A 17,645-nucleotide genomic window follows, 5' to 3' on the forward strand; every position below is an offset into this window, starting at 1 on the left:
GGGCTTCCGTTTTCTACCACCAGCCACTCGCTTACATGCCCTCTGCCTGTTCTTCCCTCATGTCCCCACAGACGGATGACCATGTCCCCAGAACCATTGGCCCCATTCCTCAACACCTATCCCCCATTCCCCAGTGCTGCTCCCCACTCCTCCCTGCACCACCCACTCTTCTCTCTGGTGGTCACCCTCATCCTCAGAATAACAGCCCAGATATTTCAAAAATGAAAACATCCTCTGACCTCACATCTCCTCCAGCTATGGCCCTTAATTCTCTGTTTCGCCTTGGAGCAGAACGTCTCAAAGAAACTACCAGTATTGACTAGCAGCCCCTGCCAGTCTCTCATTCTTGCCAAAAAGTCACCAAAGCCCTTAGTCCTCCCAAGTCTGATGTCCAGCTCTCAGCAGCCCTCTCCCTTGGCCTTGTTGTAGCATTTAATTCAGTGGATCACCCCCCATCTGCTAGACTCCTTTCTTCCCTTGGGTTCCAGACACTTCTTCTTCCTGGTTTGCTTCTAGCTCACTGGCCCCCGATCACCCTGCTGGTTCCCCCACCTCCTGTCCTCCAGGTATGGCAAGCTCAGACCTCGGCAGCTGCCTGTCTCTCCAGTCTCCCCCTCGGTACTTTCCTTCCGACCATGGATTTTAACATTATCTAGATACTGATGACTCCCAAAGTGACATCTCCAAGCCCTACACTTCCCCAGGGGTGTTTCACAGGCATCTCCAACTTTCCAAATTCAAAACTGAACTCCTAAGTTTTCCCCTCCAGGCCTGTTCTTCCTTCGGGCTTCCCCAGCGGAGTAAAGGACACCATCACATTATCCAGTTGCTCAAGCCAAAAAAATAAGGCAAATCTTTGGCTCCTCTTTTCCTCACGCCCCATGCCTGATCCTTCTTACCCCACCTGCAGAACGTATGTCTGCATCTGCCGGCTTCTCCCTTCTCATCTCCTTGGCTGATACTAACTGACTCCATTCACGAGCAGCTTTTCCCCACTGCCTCCACCCTACACAGCAGCCAGAATGAAGGATTTGAGGTTGAAATAAGACTGCAGCCCTCCAGTGCTGAAAGCCCTCCAATAGCTTAGCCTTTTTTTCTGTGTTTCTTCTAAAAAAAAGCAAAAACAAAAAAAAACCCAAACAAACAAAACGGGATACACGTGCAGAACGTGCAGGTTTGTTACATAGGTATACATATGCCATGGTGGTTTGTTACAGAGGTGCGCGTGTGCCACGGTGGCGTGTTGCACAGGTATGCGTGTGCCATGGTGGTTTGCTGCACCTGTTGATTCGTCCTCTAAGTTCCCTCCCCTCAACGCTTAGTCTTATACTTCAGCATAAAATCCAATGTTCTTTCCACCGCCTGCCTCTCTGTCCCCTTCCCCAGACCCCTCACCCCCTCTGCTCCAACCAAACTGGCTTCCCTGCTGCTCCTTCCACTCTCCAAGCAGGTTCCCACCCCAGGGGAGCTGCGCTTGGGGTCTCCTGCCTGGAAGGCTTCTTGGATCTGATGTGCTCCTTCCCACCACCGAGGTATCTGCTCAAGGATAGCAGCTCAGAGGGGCCTCCCTTGACTCCCGAATCTAAAACAACACCCCCATCCCATAAGGCACTATCTGTCCCCCAGCTCTTGTTTCCCAGAGCACTTGTCATCTGAAATGAAAATGTCTCTTTTGTTTGTTTATGGCCTTCCCCACGAAAATGCAAACTCGAAGATAGGAAATTTGTGTGTCCAGTTCCCTGTGGAATCTCCCGGACCGACACTGGCTGGCATCTGGCATGCAGATGGCGCGAGGTAAGGCTCTGTTGAATGGGTGAGTTGGTGAAGGGATGGGTGTGCTGAGGGTGGGGGCATCTCCTTCAGCCCCGTTCCTGGACGTGAGGCTTTGGCTGTCTGGCCTGTGGGGGAGCCCAGAGCCCAGTTCTCTCTCCCCCTGGTTTTCTCTCCCCATTGCCCGCACCTTGAGTTAAAGCTGGTGTCCTCTCCTCTCTTCCCCACCCCCACCCCGACCCCTGTTTCCAGTTGGAATGGCCTTGCCCACCGGGAGTGAGCCCAGAGCAGCACACTCCGGGAAAGCTTGGGGACCTCTAGAGGGCTCGTTAGGATTCCTCTGCTGCCCGCCGTCCTCCCACTCCCGCACCCCTAGCAGGGGCTAAACTCTCCTAGGCTTCCTGGCCACCTGCAGAAAGCCTTCTGGGCTGTTGGGCACCTGCACCGCTGAAGCCCCGGCCTGTGCTGCGTGTCTGGCATGTTTGGTCACAGTGCTGAGGGGCTCAGTCAGGGGTGCCAGAGAGCACTGCGCGGGGTCCAGCCTAGGTGGGAGGGGCTGAAGCCCAGCTGACCCCCCCACGCGCCACCCTGTGCACCCAGGGTGCAGCCAATGACTCCCAAGGGACCGCAGGCTTCCTTCTGAGCCCCGCAGACACTGCGCAGGAGCAGCAGGCTGGGATCCGCTATAGGCTGCCATGTGCCATTGTGGAGGAATCACTTCCTCATCCAGGCCTCAGTCATCTTGCTACTTAAAAAACATAGATGGCAAGGGCTAGGGGCAAGGGGCTTATTTTATTTCCAAAGTCTCTAAAGTCTCTGCATTAAGCAACCCCAAGGTCTCCGGCCCAGCACGCTTAACCATCTCCCGTGAGCGGCCTGACTCCCCTGCCACAAGGGTAAACCCATCAACCACAGCAGAGATCAATCCCAGGTCCTTCTGGTGCTAATTAGAAAGAAAGCTGGCTCCCAGAGAGCTGCATCTCTTCCCCATTCCCAGACAGAGGAGGTAATGAATGATTCATGGCAGGAGGATGGGCGGCATCCCTGCAGGTCTTGGTCACCGGCTTCCAGCAGGTGCTGCGCCTCCTGCACCCACTTCCTGACTCTGGCTCCCAGAAACAGATGAGCTCTGATTGACTGGCAGTACTAGAATTTATCAACGGCTTGTTCTCTCTGGAACCAGCTTTCATTGATCAAATCTGTTTCTAGCCCTCTGTTCCTGAGAATTCCCACAGGGACCAAGATTCACTTGTGCTGTCCTGTGGATAAAAATAAAAACATCCCCCAGTCCACATGACTTCACTTTTTGCCATTCCTTCTCTCCAGCAAACATCCCCACCATGCCACCTAAGCAGGGAAGAGAAGGCGAGATATTACCTAGGTCTTTCCGCACTCTAGAATTTGATGATTTTAACATGTGTATACGGAGTTTTCAGCCATGCACAAACATGCTTTCTGGAGGGAACATGGGAAAATGCAAAGAACTGCTGAACCAATGGGCTACAAAGACAGAACTGGAGTGGATGTTTTTCCTTCTTTATATTTCCTCTAACATTATGTGATAACACTGTTTTGTGCGAAATAAAATATGGTAGGAATGCTGGGTGGGGAATCAAAGGGTGAAAGTTCCAAGCATGCACTGTCATGGTTGCTGGCAGGTGTCATTGCGGGTGGTTAAATGAAGTCAGAGGTTTGAGAGAATTGCATGCAAGGGGAGCCATATCCCCCTCCCTCTTCTGGACATGGCCATTGTTCCAAAGCAAGCCACATCTGGGCAGCAAGTGTTGAGCAGGACCAGAGGTGAAAAGAGAGAGCGCACAGTAAGTTTGTCCTAACTACTAACCTTCCTCTGATGACCACCAGAAGCTGCAAGGCCTGAAGCCTGACTCAAGGACTATGTGCCCTGTACAAGAAATCTGTCCATGTACCGGTGTTCAAGTTGCACACTGCCCAAATATGCAATGTCCTGGGGAGGGGTGCCATTTACGTTGTAGATCAACTTATCTGAGAGTGCATGGGTGGGCACAGAGTCCTGCAGTAGCAGTGAAGAGCTACATAAATCCACCTGGCAATGTTATAAGCACACACGCATGCCTGCCTCATAGGGCCCTATCCCAGCCATGCTCCGGGAGGGACCTGCAGTCACTTCTCCTTCCTGCCAGCCCTTTAGGAAACCCAATTCCTGCCCCCATTGAGGGAACAACCCAGAACAGTTGCCTATTCTTGCTGGTGGGTGGGAAGGAGGAAGGAAGTGTGGGTGGACGGGGTGTGATATTGCTGGTGTGGGTGAGGGTCCGAGGGCGGGGGCTGCCAGGGTGGTGCTCACTGGGGCCCTGGGAGCTCCTGGGAGGAGGAGGGCCAGCCCACCTCATACAGGTGTCCAGGTCACACTAAGGTGAGCCACCCAAGGAAGAGGCCCTTTCCTAATTCATGCAAAGGCCCTGTGGGCTAGTGGAAGCCTGGGCTCAGGCCAATCCTGTCTTCTCTGCAGGAGGGGAATGTCAAAACACAGCCAGAGGGGGCTGTAGACAAGCAGATGGCCACACCCAGAGGCTTTGCTTGGATGTTTGTGGGAGGAGGTATTAAATAAAAAATTATTCCCGACACTTATTAAAATGGTAAGGCTGACTTTATTCAGGGGGACTGCCACCCAAGTATAGGGACTACTACCCTGGAGTTTTCCAGGAAGTGAGAGAGATTGGGCTCAACTCTGATGACAACAAAGAAAGTAGAGATTCACAGCCCAGAAGCAGCGTGGGGTGGATGAAAGGATATCACTAAGAGGAAACATGGAGGCTGCAGGCAGGCCAAGGCAATAAGATCCCTAGGGTGGGGGAGGAGGCATCTGATCAGATATCAAGGGTGGGGGATTTTCACTAAAATCCTGACCCAGCAGGATTCTTGCTAAAACTGGAGTAAGCAGGCCAAGGCCAGAGCCCAAGGTCGGGGCCTTGAGGGCTCAGGGGAGCCTGCCTAGAGGCAGGTCAAGGGGTGTCTTTGAGGAGGCTCCTGGGTCTAGGAGAGCCACAGGCCTCCCTCAGCCCTGCAGGGAGCGGCATGGGGTTCCGCCCGCCCCGCCTCACAGCACAGCAGCCCCTCTGGGAAGTCTGGCCGCTGCCCCCAAATCCACGTCCCAGGACAGCTCTGTCTGACAAATAACAGGTTTGGAGCTGGAGGTGACTGCATGGACGGGGGCCTCCTGGATTCACCTAGGACTTTGCTTGCACAGGGCACATGGGCTTTCCAGAATGACCTGCACAGCCTCGTGGTGACCTCCCCTGGTAGAGGCAGCACAGCGGGCCCCGAAGTCCACTGCACAGGGAGGAAAGCCATGGGTCGGGGGTGGGCAAGAAGGCCTGGGCTGGGGAACCTGGATCACAGTTCTGGTCACACAACCTCCTCGTAAAACCTGATTTCCTTCATACCCCCGCTCCATACACTTTGTGTTCCAGGCAAACTAATTTCAAGTAGCAACAACAGGAAGCCTGTCTGAAGGCCCCCTCCCCCTGCTTCCGGGCCTGTGCAGCCCTTGGGTCTCGATTCAGGATTCCTCTCCCGCCCCACTTCTCACCGGCGCCCCCTGCTGGATGCCCCATAGGAGGCCGTGGACGACGTCCCGACTCCTCCTGGACCCAGTGCTGCTGGGGCTGGGGAGCTTCCTCCTCTAGGAGCGCTAGATGAGAGAGGCTTCCGGAGGCGTCCTGCTGCGCTCCCCAGACTGGGAGGCAGAAGCAAAATGAGCCTGATTACTATTCCCAGGGGATTGCTGCCTGCTTTTTATTTATGCGTTTACTGGGAAGCTCTTTATTTACATTGCTGTAATTTACATTTCCCACAAGTGCCTTCCTTTCCCATCTCCTTCCCTTCTCCACATTGCTAAACGTGGGTTCCCCAGTTGCTCCAGAACGCCGGCAGCGCACAGGCTCTTCTGAGAACTCCTGGGTAAACATCCCCTGTGTTCACCCGGAAAGTGTCAAAAGGGTGGGCAGACATTTCTGTGCACATGGCAGGCTCTTGGCACTTGGTTTGGAGATGTTCATCTACCCCAAATGCAACTCCTCAAAGAGCACCACCCCCATAAAGGCACCTCTGGCTGTCTGACCCCAGCTTCCCCGGAACTGGGGAAGGGCAGGTCACTGGGGCCACTGCGTTCTGGAAGCTGAGTGGTCTACAGAGGCAGCCACACAAGTGCAGCAATTAATGTCACCATTGATTTAGGTGAAGTCTGAAGGGTGCTCATACCCTGTGTGACCCCACTACCTTTTCTTCAATGGGAGAGGGAGCCTGAGCCCTTTTCCATGTCTTGCAGTCTTGGGTGCATCTGCCTTCCTGCTCCTCCCGTCTGCTCAGGCTCCAGCCAGGGGATCAGCTGGGAGGATGCAGCTCTCTTGGCCCCTTTCAGGCCTCTAGTCTCACCCTTCAGGTCTCTAGTCTCACTTCTCCCAGTCCAGGCTAAGAAACCCACAGGCAAGGTGGATTCTACCCCCACGTTGGTGCCCACCAGCCCACGTCTGACGCCTTGTCCTTGGCTGCCTGTCCAATCTGCGTACAAGGTGCAGCCATGTCACCATCTTGAAGCACAGCCCAAATCACATCCTTACTCAAAAGCCGTTCTTGATGCCCCGACCCAATCGAAGCACAAAACATTTTCCTATGACTCTCCCTCTCTTCATGGATCCTATTTGTCACCCAAACTAAAGAATAAGGAATAACATCAATTACTCTATAAGGAGCCCCCCTACTCCACACTGCCTGCTTTATGTGTCTTTGTCACACTTGTCACTGTCTAACTCACTAGATACCTTATTTATTTCTGGTATTCTCTGTCTCCCTCCCCCACTAGAATGTAAGCTTGCATGAGAGGGCTTTTTGTCTGTTTTGTTCACTGCTTTGAAACAAACAGGGCCTGACACAAAGGAGAGGCTCAAAAACCACCTTTCGAATGAATGAATGAACAAATGGACGAGAAGTGACATTTGTCCAGTAGTCCCAGTGTTCTGCCCTTGTCAAGTGCATCGTCGTGGCTCATCCTCACGACAACACGCTGAGGTAAGTGTTTTGCCCTCATTTCACACATGTGAGGCATTCCCATGAGTTCCCACGGTCACAGAGGCTGGGCGGGTGTAGTTTTGTTCAGCAGGAGTCCCTGTGTTGGGTGGAATGAAGGAAGGACCCAGGCTCCATTGGCGACTGTGTCCAAGCTTGGTCTGACGTCACCATCTGTTCCTGTCCTCACCTTCAATGCCCACCTGTCAAACCTCACCTCCTCCACAATGCTCTTCCTGACTCCTTCAGTGGGGCCTTGGGCCTTTTTTTAACCTTTTATTACATTCATACCTACCTCTTACTACTAAATGAGGAGTTCCTGAGGACACAATGCACAGACATGAATCACAGCGCTGAGCACCTGCCGCATCTGACAGACATTGAAGGTGTAATGAGTGCTTGTTAAATGAAGGAAGAGAAAGAAAATAGCTTGAAAATCATTGTGTCTGTGTCTTGTCATATGTCTGTGGCACATGTGTTGCCTTTAACTCTAAATGACCACCTTCATCCCCAACTTATTTTAGTCCCAGGATCTATTCTAGAATATTCGAGGACTAAATATCGGACTGGGTCTCCCCCATTTGAGTTGTGTTCTGCCAGCACCCAGCGTGACCCATGTGGGAGGCGGTGGTATCTTTAAGTCGGAATGGGTGAATTTTTAAGTAGGGAGGGAGAGTGAATCTCCTGCAACATTTTTTTTCTCATTTTGAAAGGAATGTAATTGTGGAAGACAGTGTGGCGATTCCTCAAGGATCTAGTACCAGAAATGCCATTTGACCCAGCAATCCCATTACTGGGTATATACCCAAAGGATTATAAATCATTCTACTATAAAGACACATGCACACGTATGTTTATTGCAGCACTATTTACAATAGCAAAGGCTATTTGCTACGTAAATGAACCAACCCAAATGCCCATCAGTGATAGACTGGATAAAGAAAATGTGGCACATATATACCATGGAATACTATGCAGCCATAAAAAAGGATGAATTCATGTCCTTTGCAGGAACATGAATGAAGCTGGAAGCCATCATTCTCAGCAAACTAACACAGGAACAGAAAACCAAACACCACATGTTCTCACTCATAAGTGGGAGCTGAACAATGAGAACAGATGGACACCGGGAGGGGAACATCACACACCGGAGCCTGTCGTGGGCTGGGGTCAAGTCGAGGGAGAGCATTAGGACAAACACCTAATGCATGCGGGGCTTGAAACCTAGATGGCGGGTTGATAGGTGCAACAAACCACCACGGCACATGTATACCTATGTAACAAACCTGCATGTTCTGCACATGTATCCCAGAACTTAGTAAAATTTTTAAAAAAAGAAAGGAATGTATAGTCACTGTGGGATATTTAGAAAACGCGAAGGTGTACAGAAGAAAACACAAATGCACATTGTTCTTAATCTGTACAACTTCGCAGCCAGGTGGGTGGGATTATCCCCGCTTTACAGAACAGGAAACTGAAGCTCAGAAAGTTGAAATAGCGGCCCAAGCCCTTGGGCCAGAAAGCGGGGCAGGACCAGGCTCTCACCCACCTGTGCCTGAATCCAATCCCAGGCCTCCTATCCAGACCAAGAGCTTTTCAGGCCCAGCATCCCAGAGCCTGCATCCACGGCGTGGCGGCCAGGGTTTCGAGGGCTCCCGCGGTTTGGGCGCTCTGCCCCTGCGCTCCCCAAGCTGCGACCCCCTGCGCTGGCCAGCGTCGTGTAGGCCGGGCCCAGCGCGGTCCTGGCGCCTCAGAAATCTTTGTTGAGCGAATGAATGAAGGAACGAATGACGGAAGTAAAAGGTATGAGCGCCCCGGAGACTCTGGCTTGCGTTTTCCCTCTCCAGCCCCCAGCGAACTGGAGCCGGGCTGGCGCCCGAAGGGAGTCCCCGGCCGAGGGCAGCGCTCAGCTCCGCGTCCCCGCGCCGGCGCCGAGAAGGAGGCCCCGCCCGACAGGCAGCTGCGGAGCCATCTGCTGCGCGGGCGGCGCCGCTCCAGTGTTTGTTTACAACCCGGCCCGGCGAGCGACAAGAGCTCGGCTCCTCTTCCAGGCGCGCGGCGGTGCCAGTGGAGGAGGAGCAGGGCGCTGGGGGCGCGGGGGGCGCGGGGCGGGGCGGGACAGGTGCGGGGGGCGCGGGGCGGGACAGGTGCGGCGGGCGCGGGGCGGGACAGGCGCGTCTCTGTTCCCCGGCTCCCCGGCCCGCGCCCCCCGGACCCCGCCCCGCGGCTCCCTCTCACCCGCTGTAACCCCCTGCGCGACCCCGCTGGAGCGCGGTCCACGGGGACAAGAGCATTTCCAGGATCCAGGAGTGTTCAGGATGAAGGGAGGTGGCGCGCAGGGTGGCACCTAAAAAACAACGCTCCTGCAGTGTCCCTGAAGGTGACAGGATGGGTGTTAGGCATTTCACAAAATCTCTAAGTCCAATAGCTCGCCCAACTCAGGGGATTCCCCTTCTTGACAGTGGCCAGATACAGGCAATAAGGTCTGGTTTAAAATTCATTCCAGGGAGTAATAATTCCATTCTTTTAAAGCATTCTGATGTAAGTGCACTTCTGGTGTTACCATTTTTACCTCCACTCCCCACAGCAGCCACAAGCTCAGGGTTGGATCAGAGCTTGGGGAGGGTGGCAGGCGGAGATAAAGAGAACCCCAAGTTCTGGGCTTAGGGGTGCTAGCAGGTAAAAGGAAGTGACATCTGGACAGTGACTAATAGCCAGACTTTGGTGAGACAGCTAGTGTGGGGAGGAGACAGCCAGCAGCAGGGCTTTCCCTTCCTCCCGCCTCCCTGCCTCCATGCCTCCACGCCTCCACCTCTCCAGGCCTCCCCGCATCCAGCCTGCACTGCAGACCTTCCCTAGACCATGCTAAACCTAGAGCCCCTGCCTCCTCCGCAGCCCCGCAGTGCCTTGATGGCGCCACCCGCCGGGAACTAGGGGTGCTCCCTGTACTCCCAGGGGGACAGTTGTGGGAGACCCTGACCTGATCCTCGGATGCCCAGGGACTCGTTTCTACATGATTATTGGTCTGTTTGGGTTTTTCTCCTGCATACAAGGGACTAAGAGGTTACAAAGTCCTGACAAAGAGGAGGTTACACTTCCCGTACACAAAGGAGCTCGCAGTCTAGAAGGGGAAGACAGGGAAGACAAAGTGGACAGGAATCACCGCTATTCAATGCCTGCCTACTAGGCGCCAAATGCTGAGTTTGGTGTTTCTCTGGCAATTCATCCAATAAATACTTATTACATCCTGCCCTGCACTGGGCTCTGTGGATGCAGCAGAGAACAAGTCTCGTAGATGAGGAGAGACAAAATAATTCCAGTGATAGCAAGTGTGCCATAAGGGAAATACCTCTTTTGATCCTGATACAAACCCTGATGAAGGGTAAATATTCTTATCCCCTATCCCCATTTTACAGATAATGGCTCAACAAGGAGAAACAACTTGCCCAACATCTCCAAGGCTGGGTTTGGAGCCAGGTCTAAAGCCTGTATTCTGAAGCCAACGTCTACCTAGGGCTGAGGGTTGGAGATGGCCCGTCTGCCAGCTCTGGATGAAACAGCTGGGACACAGCACCATGAATGGCAAAGGTTCCTTGCTGGGGCTAAAGCAGAATAGATGTCCACTTGGAGAGTGCTGTTTTCAAAATTCTGAATCGGCTGGGTGTGGTGGCTCACACCTGTAATCTTGGCACTTTGGGAGGCCCAGGTGAGAGGATTGCTTGAGCCCCAGGAGTTTGAGCCCAGCCTGGGCAACATGGCAAAACCCCATCTCTACAAAAAGATACAAAAATTAGCCAGGCGTGATGGTGTGCACCTGTAGTCCCAGCTACTGTGGAGGCTGAGGTGGGAGGATCACCTGAACCTGGGGAGGCTGAGGATGCAGTGAGTTGTGATCATGCCACTGCATGCCAGTCAGGGTGACAGAGTGAGACCCTGTCTCAAAAAAAAAAAAAAATTTCTGAACCAGTAAAAATGGGAACAGACACTGTGACTAAAAGCCACCATCTGACAATCCCATGTTGCAGAAGCACAGGCCTGTCTGGGTGAGTGTCTCCCTCATGCACATCCGTTCATTCATTCATTCATTCATTCATTCAACATGCCCTGAAAGACCACCCTGGCCTGGTGGGAGGGCATGTCCTGGGGGCTGTGAAAGTACAGAGGAAAGAGAATTAAACATCCATTCCCCTCTTCCAGGAGCAGAAGCCCAGGACGAGGCCAGCCCATTAAACCCACTTGGCCCAAAGAATGAGAAGAAGGAAGGGGGCTGGGCTGAAGAAGAGGCAGGAGGGCAGCCATCGGTGATGGGGCGAGGACATCACTGGAGGCTGTTAAAATGAGTCTGTGTGCTTGGGTCAGGCAAGGACGCGGCCAGCATCAGCTGCTGCTGCTCTTAGCTTCCCTGCCTGTGTCCCTCGGCTGGCCCTGCTCCTCCCTCCAAAGAGAAGGCAAGAATTCTAACAGGGTGAAACCAGGACAGTGACTGGCTCATACATCCAGGGGAAAATCATCTGAAAGCACTGCATTCCATGGGACAGACAGGATGGGAAAACCAGGATGCTCAGAGAAACCAGACCTGACAGCAGACAGCAAATAATATCCCATCTGGAAGTATGACAGGACAAGAGGAGAAGCTGCACACATCGGCCCATCCTGCCCTGGGCTAGTCCGTGCCCAGGCGCTGGGGGAAGTGGACCACAGAGAGCAACACAAACTATCACATGCCAAGAGGCCTGGGAGCCAAGGCCAGAGAGTGGGGAGGAGCTGCAGGCTTCTCAAAAGACCCAGGGGGCCAACTGTGACATATGATCTGTAAGCCGAATATTTATAAATGGAATCAGATCTCCTCCTAGGTTGATGCCTTTATTTGTATGTTCCTTCATTTAGCCCCAACTCTCCTTATCTCCCTAGTAAGATCTTATAAATCAAATGCACACACACCAATACATCCAGCTCCATGAGGTCAGGAGGTATTTCATTATCACCATCTCTCCTCTACCTGCCCGATCCAGCAAAGACCCAGGCAAAACAGGGGCTGATTGGCTGATTAAATGCACTAGCAAGGGAGAGCTTCTAGTTAAAACAATTTATCTAGATCTTTTAAAAGCAAAGAATCCCACAATAGTAAACATAATTACTCTTTAATGTGATCTGGTTTTTAGTTAGAGTTTCATCTATTTTATGGAACAAACTCTTTTTTTAAATACTGTGACATAAACAGCTACGTACTTACAGAAATTGTTCTCTCTTTTCCCTGGGCACAGAGCCAGCCCCACCTCCCAGCCTCCTCGGCAATCAGCGTGGCCGTGCGCCTGAGTTCTAGCCAATGGGAGGTGAGTGGAAGTGGGTGTCCCTTCCAGACGTCGTACTGAAATTCCCCCACAGGTAATTCTCTATTCTCTTTCTTCATGCATTGGCTAGAAGTGAAGGACTCCAGAGCCCCTGGAGATGGAGGATGGAGGAGCCTGGGTTCTTGAATCCTCACATGGAATGCCAGCCACAAATTGGCATTTGGACTCCTATATGGACAAGGAATAAATTTAAATCCTATTAAGGCTGGGTGCAGTGGCTCATGGCTGTAATCCTACTGCCATAGAAGACCAAAGCAGGAAGATCACTTGAGGCCAGGAGTTCAAAACCAGCCTGGACAACATAAGTGAGACCCCGTCTCTACCTAAATAAATAAATAAATAAATAAGGTAACATAAAATAAGATTAGCTTGTCTTCAGAGGGACAGAACTAATAAAGAAAAACAAATCAAAGTTAAAAAAATGTAAAGAAAGAACAAAAAGTAAAAAAAAAAAAATCCCACAAAACAAAATTAGCCAGGTGTGGTGGTGTGAACCTGTAGTCCTAGCTACTTGGGAGGCTGAGGTGGGAGGATCACTTGCATCCAGGAGTTGGAGGCTGCACTGAGCTACGATCTCACCATCTCACCTCTGCATTATTCCTCCCCAGCTCCCCAGGTGACAGAGCAAGGCCCTGTCTCAAAAAAAAAAAAAAAAAGTCCTATTACGCTACTGAGATTATGTTATGGCATTGATCTATTATTACAGCACCCAGCATTAGTCCAGCACAAACATGTATATGCAAAACATGGCTGGCAAGCCTGGCTTGGGTAGGGGAGGTACCAGTAAGGGTTAAATTTTAATATATGGGGAGAGGCCGATGCCAGGAACATCCACGGAGATGAGGAGTTCTAAGAATTCCTGATACGCTTGGCTCAGTAACATTTTTTGGAATCCCCCCATTCTCTTTCCCACCTGCAACTTGCACCTGGCCACAGATACTCTCCATTTGCTGTTCGTCAAATCTCCCCATAGAGGCTACTCGACACTGGGATTTAACTGATGGCCCCAGAATGCATCTCTTTCTCTTTGAACTTTTTCCTCAAGCTAATAATTTCCCTCAATCTTCTGAACTTGCCATCGGGTCTGACAAAAAGCTTACTGAGTGCCTTGTTCCGCCTCTATTTCATACAACCTTCCGAAGTTCTCTTCTATATCAACATCCATCAGTCCTTCCCTTTCTACTGCGTTTGGGTTCTCTCTCTTTCATGTATCACTTCCTCGTGTTGCTTTCCTGCGTCCTACAGTCTCACTCTGCTCTGCCCCATTTCCTGTTTCTTTCCCAATAAATGGTTTCATCTTTCATGCATTTCCTCCCTTCCCAGTGCTCCAAACACAACCCCACTTATTTTCTGAGACACACTCCCTCCCCATTAATCTTTCAGCTAGGAAAGAGAGGCTAAAGCTTTCCTTTCCATTCCTGTCCATCTCTGCCTCAGTTAATTAGAGCCTTGTGAAAAACAAACTAAAACTGTTTAACCAGCTGTTTCATCCTGACTCTTCTACCCCTCGTGGTCATGGGCCATCATCTGATCACATAGTTCCTAATCCGTTATCGTGCCAAGAGGGAAGAAAGCCCCAACATCTTAAAAGAAAGGAAGCAGAATAATTTATAGAAAGAAATAAAGTGCTTAGTCAAAAGCATACCGCAAGAATTGTCACTGACTTGTTCTCAGCTTTTCCCTCATTAAACTTTTCATTTTCTGCCATCTGTCAAATATAAATCAACTTCTGTCAAGTTTCCTCAGACATTTCAGATACTTGCATACTCTATTCTTTCATTCTCTTTTCCCTCCAGGCATTTATAATTCTTCCACTTCCGAAAAGAATTGTAATCGTTCACAACAGAAGGCACACAAATAATAAAAATAACTTGTAACGTGAAAGAATGTGAGCCACTGTAGGAAATGGCAAGGTCCATGAATCTATGTATCCCAGGTTAAGGATACTTATTGTCACTGGGCACAAAATGGAACCCTGAGCTAAGTGCAAATAGTGTTAAAGACAAAGCAAAAAGGAAAACAGAAGAAGTGACAAAAACCTCAATGGTTAAAACTAGAAAGCATACTGTACTTGTCTATACTCTTTGTTACTCTTGTAGAAAGTCTTTGAACTACTTTAAAAATATTTCTTTACATCCTGCCTATTTGCTAAAAGGATATGACACAGCATAAAATTTAAAAAAATCATTATTGTAAAAATAAAGACAAGACATGCTAAATGGGATATGTGTGTGGAAGGAAGACTGACTATAACTTTCTTTTAAAAGGCTAGACTCATGGTAATGAACACAATGGAGTACATACTTTAGCTCTGAGCTCCCCGGCACCCATGGCAAAGAAGGAAACACAGGATTATAGAGCTGAATTTTTTCTAACCACAGTTACAAGATAGTCACTTCGTAACTATGAACCATGAGAGGAAGTTGTCTTATGGATCTTGTCAGTTCCCTTATTCTTTAGAAAAACTCTCCAGGGGTTCTATCATGTAATCTTCAAAATCCTTGGCCAGCTCCACCATTCGGTGGCTTCGTCATATGACCCAGCTCTCTGCCTGCACTGAGGACATTACTTTATCCTTGGATGCAACGTTTCCCAGGCATTTAGGTTCTGTGGCCGTGATGAGCGTCATATCAGCCACACCAACTGCAGTCTCATCTACTTATTTTTTTTTCTTTCACTCTATTTGCATTTTTACTTAATACGTTTTTTTTTTTATCCTGGGAAATCCCTGCTTTGGGAGACAGCCTCGAGAAGGTTAGTATTCTTTCCTGGCTTGCGAACAACTTACTCCTTCCTCTCATTCCACGTGAACTCCATCTTTCCCTCCAAGCCGGGCTAAAGTCCGGTCTCTTCCGGAGCCTTTCCTGATAACTCAGCCTGGGAACTGGAATATCCTCCGCTGAGCCCAGGGCTGGCTCCTGCCTTCCTACTACACAGCAGCTGTCCTCAAATAGGCAGTGGCGTTTTTCCCTAGCAACTGAGCACGTCGTAGGTGCCCCATAAACATGGCAATGTGGCAGGGCTAAGCAATGGATGTGTGCCCACAGTACCTGGGTTCCTGGGTAAGTCACTCTTCAAGCTTCAGTTTAGCCAGCTATAAAATGGCAAAGGGGTTGGGGAAGAGGGGGCTCTGCATTCTCTGAAGTCCCTGCCATCTTGAAGCCCCGCCTTCTTTGGCATCCCCCAAATGCACCCTGACTTTGGCGTTTTCCGTTGCTTCAGTTTTCCTTCCAGGGAATTGCACCCATGGGTTCTTTAGCAATCAGCAGCCCTTCTTATCTCTAAGACAGCCCTCCCTGTGGCTTGCCTCTGCCCAAGGGAGGCACATTCCAGAGTCCTGGACAACCTTCTCACCCCCTCTCTCCTGTCAAACTGATCTGGTCTCTGCCTGTTCGAAACAGACTATTTTTAGCCTTCATTTCTGTCTGCTCAATTTTTCTGCCTCCCACCATTTCTATTGCATCTTCAGGAATACACTGACATTTCTGTCCCTGGTGAAACATTGTCTGTTCTTGATTTTGGACATAAGCCACCAAGTCCTGGACTGTACAGTGACAGAGCTGCTCCATTCTAGTTGTGGTTCTGCCTCCTGGCAGGCTCTGCACCTTTGTGGATGTGGCTTAACCACTCTGAGCCTTGGTTTTCACATTTATCCAATAGAGACGTCACCCGCCCAGGCTGACTCAAAGTCAGCAATCAATCAAGACAGCCCCAGTCCCACAGTCTGCTTGACCAGCTCACGAGGCCAGTCCTGAGGAAAGCTTTTCCTCCAAAGCACGTGGACAGCACTTTAGAGTTTACAAATCACATTCTCATACACTGTTCTTTGAGGCATTACAATCATTGTGGCCATTTTCTAGATGAGGCAGCTGAGGCTCAAGCAGCTCACCGAAGACGTACATCCAGGTCTTCAAAAACCAGACCTTACTCTCCCCACCTGCAACAGGCTGGGGGAACAGTCGAGAGGCCCACCTGAGCTACGGGTGTCTGCACACAGTGGTCCCCGGAACCCACACTCCCATCCCCCAGCACTGAGGGATATGTGGGCCGTTGTCACCTCACCACAAGGGCTCGCTCCCACTGCATCGTGCGAGATGGGTCTGCAGAGGTGCATGTGGAAGCTTCATGGGGGTGGTGCTGTGAAGAGGCAGAAACAAGACCTGAGGGCAGGATGAGTGAGGCGACAGGGCTGTGCGACACTGCTTCATCTTGCCTGTAAGCTGTGTCTTAGGGAGCAGACAGTTTCGGAGAGACGTCACCCAGGCTGGTGGGGAGGGGAGAATGTCTGACGCGGGCATCTGAGTCATTCTGACTGAGGAGGAGGAGGCGGCTCTGACTCTCCCAGCAGGGGCAAGGGCAAGAGCCTGGGGCGGCAGCTTGAGGTCCTAAAATAAACCTGCACATTTGGCTTGAGCTTGCATCCTCTGTGGATTCCCTTGCCTCCCGGACACCTGGAGCAGCCACTGTGGCAGCCTGGGCAGAGCCCCCCACCCGGGTGATCTCAACCCAGGCACTTCTCCTCGAAGCATCAGAGTCCCATTTGAACATCAAAAGGGTTGAACTGGACCATCCCTGAGGGCTTTTTGAGCCTTAACGTTCTAGGATTCTAAATTAGTAAAATATTTTGGTGGTTATTGACTATGTCTCACAGTGAAACATTATTTATCTTAGACATGGGCCAAGCGATAATAGACATTTCTTGAAAGGTAAAGATTCTCCAGGAGAAAAATCCACCCACAGTGCTGATTCTCTTCCTGTTACCAGCTGAGGGGAGTTGAGACAGGTGGTTGGTGTGTGCCCACACACAGTTTCCTCTTCTTTCCGGGCCCCCTCCCCAAACTCCCTGAAGCTGGATGTGGCCACATGGCAGGTCCAGAGAATGGGGAGAGGAGTCTCTGCCACTTCCAAGAGCAGGCGTTTCAGAGGTGGATGTGCCTCCCACTTTTTGCCCCATCTACCAGCTGGAACACAGGACTGCTCTGGGGTTGCACCACTGAGCCTGGGGGTCTCCCCATGACTGCAGCCGCGCCCATGCTCACTGGGTAATGCTGTGACAGGATGCCCTCATCGGTCTGCATAGTGAGTGAATGTGGGGTGGTTGCTGTTGCTCGTCCACCTCTCCTGCTAGATTCTGAGCTCCCTGGGGTTCAGGGTCACATTTGACTTTTCCTCCTGTCTCCAGGGCCGGCCTCAGCACCTGACTCAATAGTGGTGTGTTGATTTAGGGAAAAACTCACCTTCAACAGCCTCTCCCAGCCCATCTGCTCTTTGTGGCCCTAGAGTTGGAGACTGAGTGCCCAGTGGCTGTCCTCGCCCTCCCAGGGCCCCTCCCAGCTCCATCATCTCAGACCGTCGGAGATAAGGGGGCCTTGGTGACCACCTCCTCTAGAGGCAGCCTGGGGGCGGCTATGGTCATCTTGATGACTGAGTAAGGGCATCCCTGGGATACGGTGGGTGGGGGGCTGGGCAGGCTGAACA

General features: G+C 51.2%; 1 protein-coding gene and 1 long non-coding RNA gene across 3 annotated transcripts in view, besides 2 other annotated features; both read right to left on the bottom strand.

Moving 5' to 3' along the window:
* The window catches only part of XKR6 (XK related 6), a 305,789-nt gene that overhangs the window by 154,666 nt on the left and 133,478 nt on the right, over positions 1 to 17,645 (bottom strand). The window lies entirely within an intron of this gene.
* Positions 8,675 to 8,754: a silencer, noted in NCBI's record as "silent region_18920". NCBI's record gives its function as "represses an Ori minimal core promoter by ATAC-STARR-seq in GM12878 lymphoblastoid cells {active_cell/tissue: GM12878}" and the evidence as "EXISTENCE:reporter gene assay evidence [ECO:0000049][PMID:35858748]".
* Positions 9,637 to 10,154: an enhancer, noted in NCBI's record as "H3K4me1 hESC enhancer chr8:10917857-10918374 (GRCh37/hg19 assembly coordinates)". NCBI's record gives its function as "activates a minimal SCP1, AML or CMV promoter by ChIP-STARR-seq in naive H9 embryonic stem cells {active_cell/tissue: H9 hESC(naive)}" and the evidence as "EXISTENCE:reporter gene assay evidence [ECO:0000049][PMID:30033119]".
* LOC101929269 (uncharacterized) lies at positions 11,942 to 16,379 on the bottom strand. Its single transcript, NR_134308.1, has 2 exons — positions 16,140 to 16,379; positions 11,942 to 12,335 (listed from the first exon to the last, which is right to left on the bottom strand). It is a non-coding gene; the product is annotated as an uncharacterized LOC101929269 (long non-coding RNA).

Source organism: Homo sapiens, chromosome 8, assembly GCF_000001405.40.
Source record: "Homo sapiens chromosome 8, GRCh38.p14 Primary Assembly".
NCBI lineage: Eukaryota > Metazoa > Chordata > Mammalia > Primates > Hominidae > Homo > Homo sapiens.